At 51.0% G+C, this 14,726-nt stretch overlaps 1 protein-coding gene across 7 annotated transcripts in view, besides 1 other annotated feature; it reads left to right on the plus strand.

The window, feature by feature from the left end:
* Window positions 1-14,726, plus strand: part of P2RX3 (purinergic receptor P2X 3) — a 36,447-nt gene that overhangs the window by 2,835 nt on the left and 18,886 nt on the right. For 4 of the 7 annotated variants that reach the window (XR_949950.3, XM_011545070.3, XM_011545069.3 and 1 more), the window contains 7 exons: window positions 7,760-7,895; window positions 8,332-8,403; window positions 8,631-8,694; window positions 9,386-9,479; window positions 9,843-9,920; window positions 10,973-11,114; window positions 11,978-12,114. Coding sequence is in view for 6 of the 7 variants with exons in the window: in XM_011545070.3 (XP_011543372.1) it covers window positions 7,760-7,895; window positions 8,332-8,403; window positions 8,631-8,694; window positions 9,386-9,479; window positions 9,843-9,920; window positions 10,973-11,114; window positions 11,978-12,114 (723 nt within the window). In the remaining variant the exon portion in view is untranslated. Of the gene's footprint in view, window positions 1-5,145; window positions 5,405-7,759; window positions 7,896-8,331; window positions 8,404-8,630; window positions 8,695-9,385; window positions 9,480-9,842; window positions 9,921-10,972; window positions 11,115-11,977; window positions 12,115-14,726 lie in introns of those variants that run through there. The other 3 variants (XM_011545072.3, XM_011545071.3, XM_011545073.2) reach the window with 3 other exon arrangements.
* Window positions 11,045-11,544: an enhancer, noted in NCBI's record as "H3K4me1 hESC enhancer chr11:57117303-57117802 (GRCh37/hg19 assembly coordinates)". NCBI's record gives its function as "activates a minimal SCP1, AML or CMV promoter by ChIP-STARR-seq in primed H9 embryonic stem cells {active_cell/tissue: H9 hESC(primed)}" and the evidence as "EXISTENCE:reporter gene assay evidence [ECO:0000049][PMID:30033119]".

The following is a 14,726-nucleotide window of genomic DNA, read 5'->3' on the forward strand; positions in this document are numbered from 1 at the left end:
CAGTTTCTTCTGTGGAGCCGAGTCTTAAAGACTGGCCTCTGCCACCCCCACCTAGGGCCTAAATTCACCCAGGTGAATTCTTTTCCCAGTTCGTCCTCCAGGGTTGAGATTGGTTTCAAGACACACGCTCGGAGTAGTAGGGTCCCTGCCCCGGCACTGCCCTCCACCGAGGGAGGGCTCAGGAGCTCCATCTCCACCCTCCCTGCTCTCATCTCCCCAACAAGAGAACAGGCAGACCCCCTCCCACATCTTCGAATTCCCCTCAGTCAAGTCTTCGGGGTCTCAAAAAGACAAGACAGCACAGGAATAGGGAAGGGAAGGCACTGAGACAAGGGGGTGGTGGCAGGTTGATCAAGTTGGTGGCCGGGAGGGAAAGAGAGAACTGGATCTGTTTTAGAATGAGGAATTTCCTTCTGGCATGGATGGGTGAGATGGTGAGAGAGAGAAGGGCAAGGGAGAAGCCCTCTGCTCTTGAAGGGGAGGACAAAGAGGGAACTGCCCCTTGATGAGGAAACAAACAGAGGCCCAAGGGAAGAGTGGCCAAGGAGAAAAGGAGCTTTTCTGAACATAGTGCCGCTCCCTCCCCAGGAATCCAGAAATGCTCCCCTTTGTCAAAAAGTGTAAGTTCCCTACCTCTCCCTGACCCTGTGCCATGTAACCCATCCTAGGAGTTGCTTAAGAGCCAGGAAGGTGCAACCATCCCCTCAGCCCCCACCGCCTGCAAGCACACACCTACACACACACACACACACGCACACAAAGGGCTGTGGAGCAGACAATGGCTGGGGAAGAATGCAGGTCCTGTCCTTCTTGTGGTCATTTCCACACACTGGTGGGCACCAGGAAATACAGGCAGAAACCTCGAAGGTTTTCTTTCCTGGCATGCGGGTCTCCAATCTTATGCTGTTCTTTCAGACAATGGGTCTTTGCATTTGAGGCAGCAATCCACTGACTGTCAGGAGTTAGTTCAAGCAGGTCAAAGGAGAATCCTGTGTGCCTGTGGGCTGAAGCTGCATGCAAACCTGCTTGCTTGAAATGTTGAAGTTTATGCGAGGGTGTGGAGGGAAAGGTGGCTAGATGTGACTTTTTAGGTGATTTTTTGCTCTGTGTGCTGGGCAAGCCCTGGTAGGCTTCAGTGGGCAGGTATTGTAAAAAGGCTGTACCATCCAGTGCTCCTTTGGGAGATTTTAGAAAAGGGATTCAAGCTTTGGAATAGCATTAAATGGCCACAAAGTTCCCTTCCAATGTTGAGGTTTTGTGAGATACGAGGTTTGCAAATGTTCGCTGTCTGCATCTCTAGAGCTTGGCTCAAAGTTGGTTCCTAAATGTTCTGTGTTCACGTGTATATTCAATGCTGTGGTTGTTTATAGCCACAAGATGGTATGTTGGCCCAGGTGAGTGCAAAATCTGGCTCAGCACATTCCCCTTCTGGCCTGGCTCCACTGGCTCCAGGCAGAGATTGATGGGGGAGAGAGTGGGCTCCTAGACCAGCCCGCTCAGCCCCCACTGCCCTTGTCTCTGTCTCATCATGATCAGATAGAATCCTCCAGTCCTCAGGGCTGGAGCCCAGCCTGCTGGAGCGAGTGTGCGAAGCTCTTTAGCATCTTAATTTCCAACCCCATCCATCTCCTAGCCTGACAGCTCCCCACGGGACACTGCCTTCCAGTTACATCAGCGCCCTCTGCAGCCCAGCCCCCTGACCTGAGTCCCATCTCCGTGTATGTGAACCCATGCACGTTGTGACTTCATGAGTCCACCGTCATTAATTTAGCAAAAATGTACCAGCATCTCTGCATGCCAGGCACTGTGGATTGAGGACGGAATGGTGGGCAAAAGCAGACAGGGTCCTCGCCCTCCTGGGGCTTACAGCGGAAGGCAAGAGATGGCATTCATCTGATGATCTCCACAAACGTGAAATGTCAACTGTGGCTTAGAGGTGCACAGTTATAGAGAGCCGCTTCTGTGAAGGTGTTTGGCCCAGTCAGGGAGTAAGGGAAGGTTTTCTGGAGATGTGACATTTTAGCCAAGACCCGAAGGATGAGTAAGAGCAGCCCAGGTGAAAGAGGGAAGGAAGAGAGTTCAGGGCAGAGAAACCCACCTCTGCAAAGGGAAGGAGGCTGGCAAACAGGGGAAAGAAAAGAAGGTCATTGTGGCTGGAGCCGAGGGAGCAGAGATGAGTGAGGGTGGTGTACGGTGGATGGGAACACACACAGAGGCCGGACCTCAGACACCCTTAGAGAGCTTTTGTTTTTACAGGAGATGAATAAACAGAAGCCATGGAAGCATTTTAACCCGTGTGTCTGTGTGCACTTTTGTGTGTGTGTGCACGTGAGTTTGAGAGAGAGAGAGACAGACACGATGAGATCTGAGTTGGGAAGAGCACCTGGGCTGATTCCCTGGAAGTGGAAGGAGTAGGAGTGGGTGCAGGAAAACCTGCTAAGAGGCAGTTTATGCAGAGAGGTGACAGTGGCTTGGACCCAATCGAATTTGAAGGGATTTTTAAGGCTATAGTGTTAATATTTCACTGATACTTCAATCTCTTCCCCATCATCCCAACCAGGTCAACAACCTAGACTCTGCCTAACATGAGTCCATCATTTCTCTGAGAACTTCTCAGCAACACACCACCTGGTCATCTCACATACGCTCTCACCCCCGCCCCTGGCCTCAGCTGCTTGTCTGTGGTTGACACCATTTCATCACTATTTTCCTTTACCCACTCCAGGGCACACAGAGAGGCCTGGACTTACCTGATGTTTCTCACATCTTTTCTGGGTCCACGTGGTAATCCCCACTCACCTCTGTGGAGTGGGACTTCCCGAGAGCCCATCCCCGTTCTGGATCCTTTGGGGACCTGAGAAGTTGAAGGAAATCCCTAGGATCTGAGTCCCTGGAAGCAATAGCCTGTGCTTGGCCTGAGGTTGATTTCCAGGGCCTTCCTGGAGGAAGCTGCCTCCTTGCAAACTAGGAGGCCAGGGACTTCCCAGGCCTTTGATGCCCCATTGTGCTGAAGGGTCACTGGTGGCTGCTGGAGCCTCTGACCCCACCACAGCCCTGCCCTACCTGCCCTGTTCCTCCCCCATACAAGACCCAGTCCACAAACTTGCCATCTGTACAGCCCCATGCTTTGGTTCATAAAATTCAGCCTCATTTCAGATCTTAGGTGGGAGTTCAATACATAAAGCAGGTGAAAGGGAGGAGCTGCTCTGGTTTAAAGAGAAGGGTCTAGAATCCTGCCTTCTTGGCTCTCCACTCCATCCTCTCAGCCCAGGGTATCACTGTGAGGCACCTTGTCAGCACAATTAAGTGACAGATATGGTGGAAAGAGCTGTTATGGTGGGAAGAACTGTTGGGCTGCCCCATCTTTTTTTTTTTTTTTTTTTTTTTTTTTTTGAGACGGAGCCTTGCTCTGTCCCTCAGGCCGGAGTGCAGTGGTGCAATCTCGACTCACTGCAACCTCCGCCTCCTGGGTTGAAGCGACTCTCCTGCCTCAGCCTCCCCGGTAGCTGGGATTACAGGCCTGTGCCACGACGCCCGGCTAATTTTTGTATTTTTAGTAGAGATGGGGTTTCACCATGTTGGCCAGGCTGGTCTCGAACTCCTGACCTCAAGTGATCCACCTGCCTCGGCCTCCCAAAGTGCAGGGATTACAACATGAGTCACCATGCCTGGCTGGATGCCCCATCTGGACCAGTCATCCTGGTCCAGAGAGAGGAGTGACTCTCATTCCTGCCTGCCCTCTCCCCCAATATGGAACGTAGAGCACTTGGTTAGAAGCCTGGCTCTGACACCAACTAGGAGAGGGCCTCCTAAGAGTGACTTTACATCTCTAAGTCTCAGTCCCCATATCTGGAAAATGGATTTAGGAATACCTCCTCCCTGGGAGTTATAGGGAGGGGAGGTAACATATGTCAAGTGCCTTGCGGAGATGGTGACTCAGTAATAGATGGCAACTGCGACTACTTCACAAAGACCCCCCCATCACCCCTCCCCCTTTCCCTCTGCCCAGCTCACACCTTCCTAAGAGACCCCTCTCCTCCTCCCACACACACAGCGTGCACTCTTCACACCCACTCCCCAGCCTCCTCCTTGGCTCCCTGGGGGCGGATGGGAGGGTGCTGGGGCGCGGCTCTGGCCTCTCTCCTGCACATCCCACCTGCCAAGGAGCTGCCACACGCCTTCCGCTCTATAAATAATAAACCATGAATGCGAGAAGAAAATAGTCAGAGCAGCAGAGTAAATGCCAAGAATCGAAGGCTCAGGCCTGCCCTAGCTCCTGAGCCCTGGCCTCCAGAGACAGCCTCAGCCCCTCCGTTCTGGAAATGAAGCATCCCCTTCTTTCTAGCTGCCTTGATGACATCCCGAGGCCCTGTGAGGCCATTGAAATTCTTCCACTTGTTATTTAAGTCAGAGAGAGAATTCTAATGTGGCCTCTCCACCCCACTGGGCACAAGAAGGAGCCTTGAAGGAGGAGGAGGAGGAGGTAGGAGATTGGTTGATTGTTCCTTGGAGTCCTCGGCCCTTTCCTCCTGAGACTTTCCTAAGCCAGGAGATGCTTTCACTGGTGATGGAGCAGGAGCTGGTAGGAAAAGCACAGGGTCCGGTTCAGGGGGCCAGCATGGCCTGGCTTTGAGCTGGGACACAGCTAGAGACCTTCGAGTGAAGAGGCTGTGAGTGGTCTGGAGCACGTTGTCTGGTTAGAGCTGACATACCAGCTTTGCAATCCTGGGCAAGTTAGCACCCTCTCTGTGCCTCAGTTTCCTCATTCATGACATGAAGGTAATAACGAAGCTGTCTCAGTAAGAATGTAGTGAAAGATTCGGCTTAGCAAGTGCCGCATTGGTTATATAATACTAGTCTGAACTCTGCATCTCCAAATGTTCCTGGACTTTAAGGACGCAGGGCAGGGGCCTCAGAAAACCATTTCCTTAGGTCGACACTGAGAAATATGTCTATTCTGTGGCTAGGCACATTGAAGCTCGGTTCCAGAAGGGTGTGTTTAGACCACAGTTTGCACTCTGCGAATGTACAGCCAACAGCCATCTTAGCTGGAAGCAGAGAGCCTAGGCCCCAGACCTCACTCCCTTCACTCTGCAGGGCCCCAGGCTGTGAGCTAATAATGCTCATTTGGGTTTCCTGTGACAGGGAGGCTCCCTTCTCTTCTTCAAGGACGTAATTTGGCAGATGGGATTTCTACGTGAGGCATACTTCCTTGTGAAATCTGAATGAAACCCCTCCCCTTCCAAAAAAAGAAGAAAAGAAAAGTGCTGGGAGATAAAGCAGCACCACAAAGCCCCATAGAAGGCGGTATGCATGAGAGCATTTTACAAGCACGCAAGTCACTCTAAGTGGTGCGTTAATCAGGATGCCGCCTGCCTGCTCTAAAGGAGCAATAGGAAAGCAGGTAACGGGTTTGAAGCCATATGCTGGTGCTTTGACTACACCCTTTCTCTCCTGCTCAAGAAATCATTCAGAATTCAAGCCAGTAATACTACTGAAAAAATGATAAATATGTGAGGTAGTAAATATGATCATTAGCATGACATAATCATTCCACAAGGTATAGGCATATCAAAACACCCACATTGTGCCCCATGAATACGTACAATTATTACTTATCAATAATAAATAGGGCTGGGCATGGTGGATCCCGCCTGTAATCCCAGCACTTTGGGAGGCCAAGGCAGGCAGATCACTTGAGGCCAGGAGTTTGAGACCAGCCTGGCCAACATGGGAAAACCCCGTCTCTACTAAAAACAAAAAAGTTAGCCAGGCGTGGTTGTGCATGCCTGTAGTCCCAGCTACTCAGGAGGCTGAGGCACGAGAATCACTTGAGCCCGGGAGGCAGAGGTTGCAGTGAGCCGAGATGGCGCCAGTGCCTGGGTAACAGAGTGACACTCTGTCTCAAATAATAATAATAAATAGTATTTATTTATCAAAAATTTAAACTTAAATTAGAATAAAAAGAAAAAAAGATTCCAGTGAGCAAAGGAAGACCCATGATGGGGATAACACCAAACCCTCTCACTGAAAACCGAACGAAGAGCCACTTGCAAATATCCGCTGGGGTTTGCAGTAAATAGGATTGTGGTGTCCAAACTATAAGTGGCTGGGACCCCCGGTACGTTCTGGGAGCTGCTGCTGTTTGCATGTTCCAACAGTAGGTGACCCCAGAGATCATTCAGTCCAGCCTCCACCTGAGGAAGGGGCCTCCTCTCAGCACACCTGCCAGGTGAGCAACATGCTGTCCTGGAGTCTTCCCAGACGTGTGGCACGCGTGTGGTGACTTTCCGCAGCAGGCGGTTCTGGGATTGAAGTCCTCGCCCACCTCCTTATAGAATCCTCAGGTCAGCCCAGCTCCTGGCTCTGCAGCTTCCCAGCCTCTAACTCCTACGGCTTTGTCTTCTCTGGGCTACACAGTCTCAAATTCCTTCCACTCACCTTCATCTGGTGTGGTTTTCCAACCTCGTGCCACCCTGGTTAGAAGCAGAAAATGCCCTCACCCAGCATTTCCAAAAGTGTGCTCCTCTGTTCCATGAGACGTCACCAGTATTTCTCCAAGACTGGCTTCTGTGGTCAAATAAGATTGGGAGACAGTGAGGTTAACAAAATGTAACAGATGTATTTGTTTGTTTACATCGTATGTTTCTCGGGGAGGGAGGAGGGTTGCATGGCATTTTCTAAACGTATTTGATGAGGTTTTCTCATCTGTCGAATGGGAATGGTGGCAGCATCTACCTCCCAGTGTGCCATCAGGAATAAAGGCAATCTTGCCAAAGGCTGGAAGTGTGGGATTAAGTGAGGCTGAGCGGGGACTTCAGCCTTGAGGGCTGTGATTGGCGATTTCAAATGGAAAGGCAGGCACTTTATAGGAAAGCAGAGGCACGAGTTGCCAGCAGGTATTTGCAGGCCCTTTTGCTCGAGGCCAGGAAAGTCTGAGAAGGAAGATAGGGATGGAAAAAGGGAAGGCCTCATCCACGTGGTCCCATTATGGCTTAAAGCTGTAGGAAGGCGCCAGTACAGGTAAATGACCACTGGGTGGCAGCACAATCCAGGGAATAAGATCAGACTCTTCCCTCCCTCCTCCCCCAGCCCCCCCACCTTCAACCGAGCTCCTTTACCTGCCAGGTAAAAGCTCAGCCGCTGTCCCCCGCTTCCTCCTCTGTTCTCATCTGACACCTGGGCAGATAGATTCTGCCAAGCACCGAGCTCCCAAGGACCTTTATTGATTTGTTTACTGAGCTACTTTGTGTTGGACACTTAGGGTACAGCCGTGGGCCAAGGCTGGAATGCATGGGAGCAGAGGCCTGGGATCCTCTGTCCTTCTGTCTCCTGGGTGCCTGCCAGAGAAGTGGCCCCCATCAGCAGCATGGAATGACTTTGAGCCATGCATTCTCAATGGGGCCATATGGCCCCCAAGGAGGTGAAAATTGGTTCTCACTCTTTTTATGCATAAAGCACAAATTTGCATACAGTACATAAACAGATATCTGTGATATCAAAGTTTCATGGAGGGGGGGACCACTAGGGGAGAAAATGTCTAGAAAGGCACCTGAGGGGCAGTAATGGGACAAAAGGTGGAGAAACGCTATTCTAAGTCAACCAAGGGCTCACTCTAGGTCTCACGCCTCTGGAAGGAACCATCCGCACACCCTGCCAGGCATGGCCAAGTGTTGGCAGGAAGGTGACCTCTCCCAGCTTCTGTCTGCTGGGTCTATGGACTCCTCTCTTTCTCTTCATTTATGCTCTCCTGCCCCAGGTGGGTTTTCTTGCACGAGAAGGCTTACCAGGTACGGGACACAGCCATTGAGTCCTCGGTGGTAACCAAGGTGAAGGGCTCCGGACTCTACGCCAACAGAGTCATGGATGTGTCTGATTACGTGACGCCACCTCAGGTATGGTACCCCTACCCAGAGAGGCATGTGGATGTCCAGACACTGGGCAGGTTGGAAGGGAGAAAGCGAGCAAAGAGTGCCAATGGGATTCCCAAACTAGAATCCATGATGTCACTGATCCAGAGGACCTCTCCCCCAGCAGCTGAGAGCTGTGTGAGAGCTTGGGCCTGCGGTGCTGGGCATCAGGAAAGCTGGGTTCCTCTCCAGGCTCTGCCACAACTTGTAATGCAATCAAGGACAACACACATGGGAGAAGGGGGCCATGTGGGTGGCTGCAAAGAGCCAGCTCTGCCCCTCACCAGCCCTGTGACCTTGGCCAAGTCACTAGACACAAGCCTTGCTTTCCTCATCTGTAGAGTGGGGATAATCAGTTATAGTCCCTGTCTCACTGATTGGGACTGTTGGATGTTTTTCTCTCCCTTCTTCTCCTCCCAAGGGCACCTCGGTCTTTGTCATCATCACCAAGATGATTGTTACTGAAAATCAGATGCAAGGATTCTGCCCAGAGGTGAGGGGAGGACAGAGGTTGGGTGAAGCAGGTCAAGGCTGAAAATGTTGGTGGGAGTGGGAGCAGTGGCAGGGAGGTATGAGCAGAGGCCCCAAGTCTGACCTTGCAACTGGGACCTGGGACCTCCACCCTCCTGAGGCTGTTGGTTATGGGGAGGTCGAGGGAGTCGCGGAGCTCACCAGGCCAGGACAGTGTCCTTCACCAACCTGTGACCCGTCTGCCCACAGAGTGAGGAGAAATACCGCTGTGTATCAGACAGCCAGTGCGGGCCTGAGCGCTTGCCAGGTGGGGGTGAGTCCAGCCCCTTACCCACCCCACAATCCCAAGTGTTAGTGGGACCCATGGGGGAGAGCCCGTCGTTGGAGAGGGAGTGGGAACCAGCCTGTTCCATGTCATTCTGCTGGCATTTACAGTTGCTCCCTGGGTGCCACACCCAGTGGGTGCTACAAAGGTGGCATGGCCCCTGCCCCCAGAGGAGTTCCCAGTCTAGGATGGTGGTGACAGACAGGGGTGCTTGAAGTGGCCTGTGCTGTCCAGGAGGTACAAAAGACTGTTGAGCCTGGGGGAGGGGGAGAGATTGCTTCTGGGTGAGCAGTACCCAAAGGCTTCCTTGAGGTGGTGACATTTGGGATGGTCCCTGAAGATGAATAGGATTTGGCAGGACAGAGGGGGCTTCAAAAAGTTCATTCCAGACAGAAGGAACAGCTGCAGCACAGACTCAGAGGCAAGGAAGGAAGCACAAGAAGAAGAGGTGTCCTCAGGGTTGCTGGGGCTCGGAGCACATGAAAGGAAGGCTGTCACCTCCCTTTGGCTGGGTCTGGGGCTCAGGAGAAGCAGCAGGAGAGAAGTCAGCTCCCTTTTCCCTGCCTGCTCTTTTCCCCCACTTGCCAGGGTCCCTGATGGGGGGAAGGGAAGAGGGAGGAAGGAAAGGGAGAGGAGCAAAGGGCAGGCAGCCACCCAGCAGCTGTGGCTCTCACTTTAGGGATCCTCACTGGCCGCTGCGTGAACTACAGCTCTGTGCTCCGGACCTGTGAGATCCAGGGCTGGTGCCCCACGGAGGTGGACACAGTGGAAACGTAAGGCTCCAAGCCAGACAGGAGGAGACAGGCCCCCACCTCAGCTCCCCTTTGCCCATGTGGGAGCCGTGCGTCTCTGAGCTTGAGGAGGGTCTGTGGCTTTCTCCAGTGTTGTCCCTTCCTGGTGTGGGGGGTGGCCTCAGGCCCAGGGTATCATCTTCCCCAGCCCACCCACCTGCCTCCTCCTCCTGCTGTGACACTCAGGCACAGACAGCCCCTTCCTATAGCCCACTCTCAAAGTGCCCTTTATCTATAAGAGGTCTCCCTTTGGAGGCATCCACCAGGAAAGGTCGCCCTCAGGTGAAAGCCTTCATTTCCCCCTCTTCTTCCTGGAAAGCTAAGGCCTCCTGTGCTCACCCACAGGCCCATCATGATGGAAGCTGAGAACTTCACTATTTTCATCAAGAACAGCATCCGTTTCCCCCTCTTCAACTTTGAGAAGTGAGTCCCCACTCCTTCCCTAAAGCCAAGATGCAGGCACCCCCGGCCCTGCCAACCTGTTTTCAGGGAAGTGGAGATGCCCCCTCGCCACAGTTCTTCCCACTTTCGCTCCACTGACCCATCTCCCTGGGCCTACCATTCCCAATCTCCCAGCGGGCCTTGGCCACTGAGGATCAGGTGAACTTTGGGGTCAGTTTCTCTGCCAGCCTCCCCACCTTGGGGCTCAGACCCAAACGGGAGTTTTGCTTGGGGTAGGAGAGGGACAACTTAGGCCTAGTCGTGGGTCAAGGATGCCTTCAACGGTTGAAACCCTTTCGGTCTCGTCCCATTCTTTTTCCCCACATCTAGCCCATGTGTGGAAATCCCTTTTCTCTTAGTCAGTTCAGCCCCCCTTCATTGACTTACTCATTCCACAGCTACTCAGTGGGCATTGGCCATGTGCAGAGGGCAATGCCAGTCACTACAGAAGTGCACTAGGCCAGGCGCAGTGACAAATGCCTGTAATCCCTGCACTTTGGGAGGCCGAGAAGGGTGGATCACGAGGTCAGGAGTTTGCGACCAGCCTGGCCAACATGGTGAAACCCTGTCTGTACCAAAAAAAAAAAAAAAAAATTAGCCAGGCGCCGTGGCACACCCCTGTAATCCCAGCTACTTGGGAGACTGAGGCAGGAGAATCGCTTGAACCTGGGAGGCAGAGGTTGCAGTGAGCCGAGATCATGCCACCGCGCTCCAGCCTGGGCAACAGACCGAGACTCCGTCTCAAAAAAAAAAAAATGCACAGAGTAACCAAGAATGATTCCTGCCCTCTCGAACTCCCAGCCTGGCAGCTGGAGATTAGTCACCGACATACATCACCCTGATACACAGGGAAGGCGGTGATGGGGCACCAGAAAGATGCAGGGAAAGGAAAGAGGGGAGGGAGATGGCGAGGTCCAGATGAAGGCTGAGGGCTCAGATCCCCCCTAGGCCTGGGCTCCGGAAGGCGGGGAGAGATTGCACAAGACGATCTTCCCATGAACCCTGGGCTGACCTCTCTCTCTGCTCCTCCCCAGGGGAAACCTCCTTCCCAACCTGACAGCCAGGGACATGAAGACCTGCCGCTTCCACCCGGACAAGGACCCTTTCTGCCCCATCTTGCGGGTAGGGGACGTGGTCAAGTTTGCGGGGCAGGATTTTGCCAAACTGGCGCGCACGGTGAGGACCTAGCCATTCTTCCGCGACCCCAAACTCCCCACCTTCAGCCCTTTCCCAGATTTCAGGGCCCTTTGGCCGGCACTGGCCAGGAGCCGCCGCGAGACAGCGCCACCTGGTGGAAGCATCCCAGGCCGCCACTGGCTTTGTGCCTGAATCCTTTCTGCTTTCCCCGCGCAGAGCGATCTTGCCCCCCGCCTCCGCCGAGTCCACCTTCCTCAAGCCTCAGTTTCCCACTCCCATCTTCACACTTCACCTCAGGCAAAGGCCTTAGATCTGTAATAAGCCCCAAACGACGGGAAAGTAGACCTGTGGCCACTTTCTCCTGTGTTGTAGCTAAAGCACTGAAGATCCCAAAATTAGGACTCAGAGGCTCCAATGTTCGCATCCGAGCCACAACCTTTTTTTTTTTTTTTTTTTTTGAGACAGAGTCTCGATCTGTCTCCCAGGCTAGAGTGCATGGCGCGATTTCGGCTCACTGCAACCTCCGCCTCCCAGGTTCACGCCATTCTCCTGCCTCAGCTTCCGGAGTAGCTGGGACCAAGCCCGGCTAATTTTTGGTATTTTTAGTAGAGTCAGGGGTTCGCCGTGTTAGCCAGGATGGTCTCGATCTCCTGACCTCGTGATCCGCCCGCCTCGGCCTCCCAAAGTGCTGGGATTACAGGCGTGAATCACCGCACCCGGCCACCACAGCACTTCTTTACTGAGCAGTATATGACATGTCACTTTCCGTTCTCCCTGCCTCCGTCTCCCACCTGGAGGATGGGAGGAAATCATTTGTCACCACCTCCACCCCACCCCCACCCTGGCCCAGAGCAGGGAGTCAGAGGGCGAGGGGAAAGCTCATACCCGGCCCGTTTCTTCAGGGGGGAGTTCTGGGCATTAAGATCGGCTGGGTGTGCGACTTGGACAAGGCCTGGGACCAGTGCATCCCCAAATACTCCTTCACCCGGCTCGACAGCGTTTCTGAGAAAAGCAGCGTGTCCCCAGGCTACAACTTCAGGTAATTCCCTGTCTCCTGGGACACCAGGAGAAGAAGGTGCGGGCTGTTAACGGCAATGTTTATTGGGGAGACAAGATCCCACATCCATCCACCCACCCCTGGCCCCAAGTCCCACCTCAGGTTTCATTTCAAATCAGGAAGGACTCTCTAACAGCCATTAGGATCTAGCTGGTTGTCCTGGGAGACAGTGTCTCCTTATCACTGAAGGGGACCACGCCAAGGATTCCTGCTGCAGGTCAGTAGTTAGAAGAGAGGGCCAAGGTCTCTTGAAATGCTAGGGTTCTGCGATTCTTTGCCTGTTCCTAACACTGGCCTGAAACTGTGACGTGCTTAAGTGACTTCCAGATAGGCCCATTCCCTGCCCTGGGCCTGAATTTTCTAAGGTTTCTCGCTCTACAAAGTAAGGGTGATAACTGGTATCATTTTACATTTTACAAGATGGCAACTTTGCATTTCTCTCCGCAAACGTGTGTCACCAGTAGCAATTATAATTGTCTCTGGTTCTTCAATGCCTCTCCAAACAAGAACTCAGACCAGTCTTTAAATATCATCCCAATGGCTTTGAGACTTCAGGGATCTTTTCGGGTTTTGTTTTGTTTTGTTTTTCCATTTTGAAGAAAGGGAGAGAGGAATTAGAGGACAAACTGTTTGGAAGCAACTGAAAGCGCTTGAACAAGCCATTTGTCTTCTCCCATCCTAATTTCCCCACCTATGAAATTGTGATAGTACCACTGTGATCTTCAGGATTCAATTAACCAATGTGTGAAAAGCTTCAGCTTTCTGTTTTGTTTCTCTCTTCTTTTTTTTCTGAATCATTCATTTATTGATTCATCCATTAAACACATACCAATTGTCTACTACGTGCTGAGGACCGTACTCAGTTATCTTAGGTTAGCAGTTCTCAAAGTGTAGACTACAAGGTCAACACTACTTATTAAAGGTTTTGTTTTCTTTTTAATTGATAAATAACAATTGCATATATATGGGATACAATGTGATGTTTTGATACATGTATACATTGTGGATTTCCCCCAGTTTTTGAAGATCCTGAAGTTTCTGGCAGGGCCCTGTTTAAGTACACAGCATTATACACTAAACAGCTTAAATAGAACAAATAGGGAGTGACCAGGGGAAAAAAATACATAAGAATATATTTCATTTACATTTGAACATAAGAATGTATATTTGAATATATTCAAATAAATGTTACTCAAATTTCCTTTGTTGAGGTGGTATTCTCTGATACAATGGCATACGTAAGCCAAAAATAATCATTTCACCTTTTAAAATTGTTAATTTATAACTTAAAAAAATAATCACCCACCCCATTAAGCTTTATATTTAATAGTTTAAAATATACATGTATATTCTCTGGAAAGAAGAATCTTTAAAAATTGAAGTACTTTCATCATCAACTCCAAACTTTAAAAAAACCATAGGAAACAACACATATTTTAAAGTAGGTTAAAAATACTGTGCGGCTCACTGGCAGAAATTGGCATATTTATTCAGTTGGTATATCACACTGAGATCAATACAAAGGATATTTGTATGGTGGCTTAAAATAGTAACATATTAATAAAATTCTCATGATCTAAAATGCAAGTTTTCATCTTCATAACTTCCCTTTGGCCATTGGGAATTCTTTAATCCTCCAAATAACTCATTTGGCAGAAAAGCTTATGAAGAATGTGAATATTATAAAGACCCCCAACTACTGATATCGTACAGTTTTAGAACAGCATCTCTCATCTAAATAAGAATTGGTCTGGAGTTCTTTATCTCCAATTTATTGCACTGTGGCTGCCTTCCCTCCCTCCCCACCTGAGCACAGAAGGATGCGGGATAGACCTGGTCCTAAATAAGCTTGGAGGGTATTTGGGGAGGCAGGACGGAATATCCCCAAAGACCCTGCCTGCATAATTCCCAGAGGCCTAAGAGAAACCACCCCCTCTTAGGATCTCAGATAATTGACTCCCCCAACAAAGTCCCCCAGGCCAGAGAAGAAGGAGGCAAAGCTGCTTAGTTTGACCCTTGTGATTTAAAAGTTTCCAGAGGGCCCAAGTAATAGCCCTGACATTGGGGGACATCTGATATCAGTGGCAAGCAGAGGGCTCTGCCCAAGCCCCTTCCCATCCCTTCACCTGGGTGCCCACCCACCACCCTCATGCAACCTCAAACTACTGGCACCCAAGGCTAAGCTAAGAGCCCACGTGTGGGAGGCTGCAAAGCTGTCTTTCTGAATGCTTGAATAAGAGAGAAAGGGTCACAAAGCCAGGTTCAGTGCGGGTCACAGTGCACTTTCTATGATATGGTAAGATGTACGCTGTTTTTTAGAATCTCACCAAGCTACTTATCAGTAGAAACCATACTAGTCACCCTGTGTGCAAAACGTTTTGTGTGCTTCAGCTCAGCATTCCTTGCATGCCCTACGAAGTAGATGCTACAATATCCCCCCCAACTTTATAAAGGAGAAGATGGAGTCTCACTGTTAAATAACATTCTCAAAGTCACAAAGCAAGCAAGAGGGGGAGCCTGGATTCAAAACATATTTCTTTGGATGATCTCCACCCCAGCCAGGAAGACTAGGGACATTTGTACTTGTTAATCCT

The sequence above is a fragment of the Homo sapiens genome, chromosome 11 (assembly GCF_000001405.40).
Source record: "Homo sapiens chromosome 11, GRCh38.p14 Primary Assembly".
Classification (NCBI taxonomy): domain Eukaryota; kingdom Metazoa; phylum Chordata; class Mammalia; order Primates; family Hominidae; genus Homo; species Homo sapiens.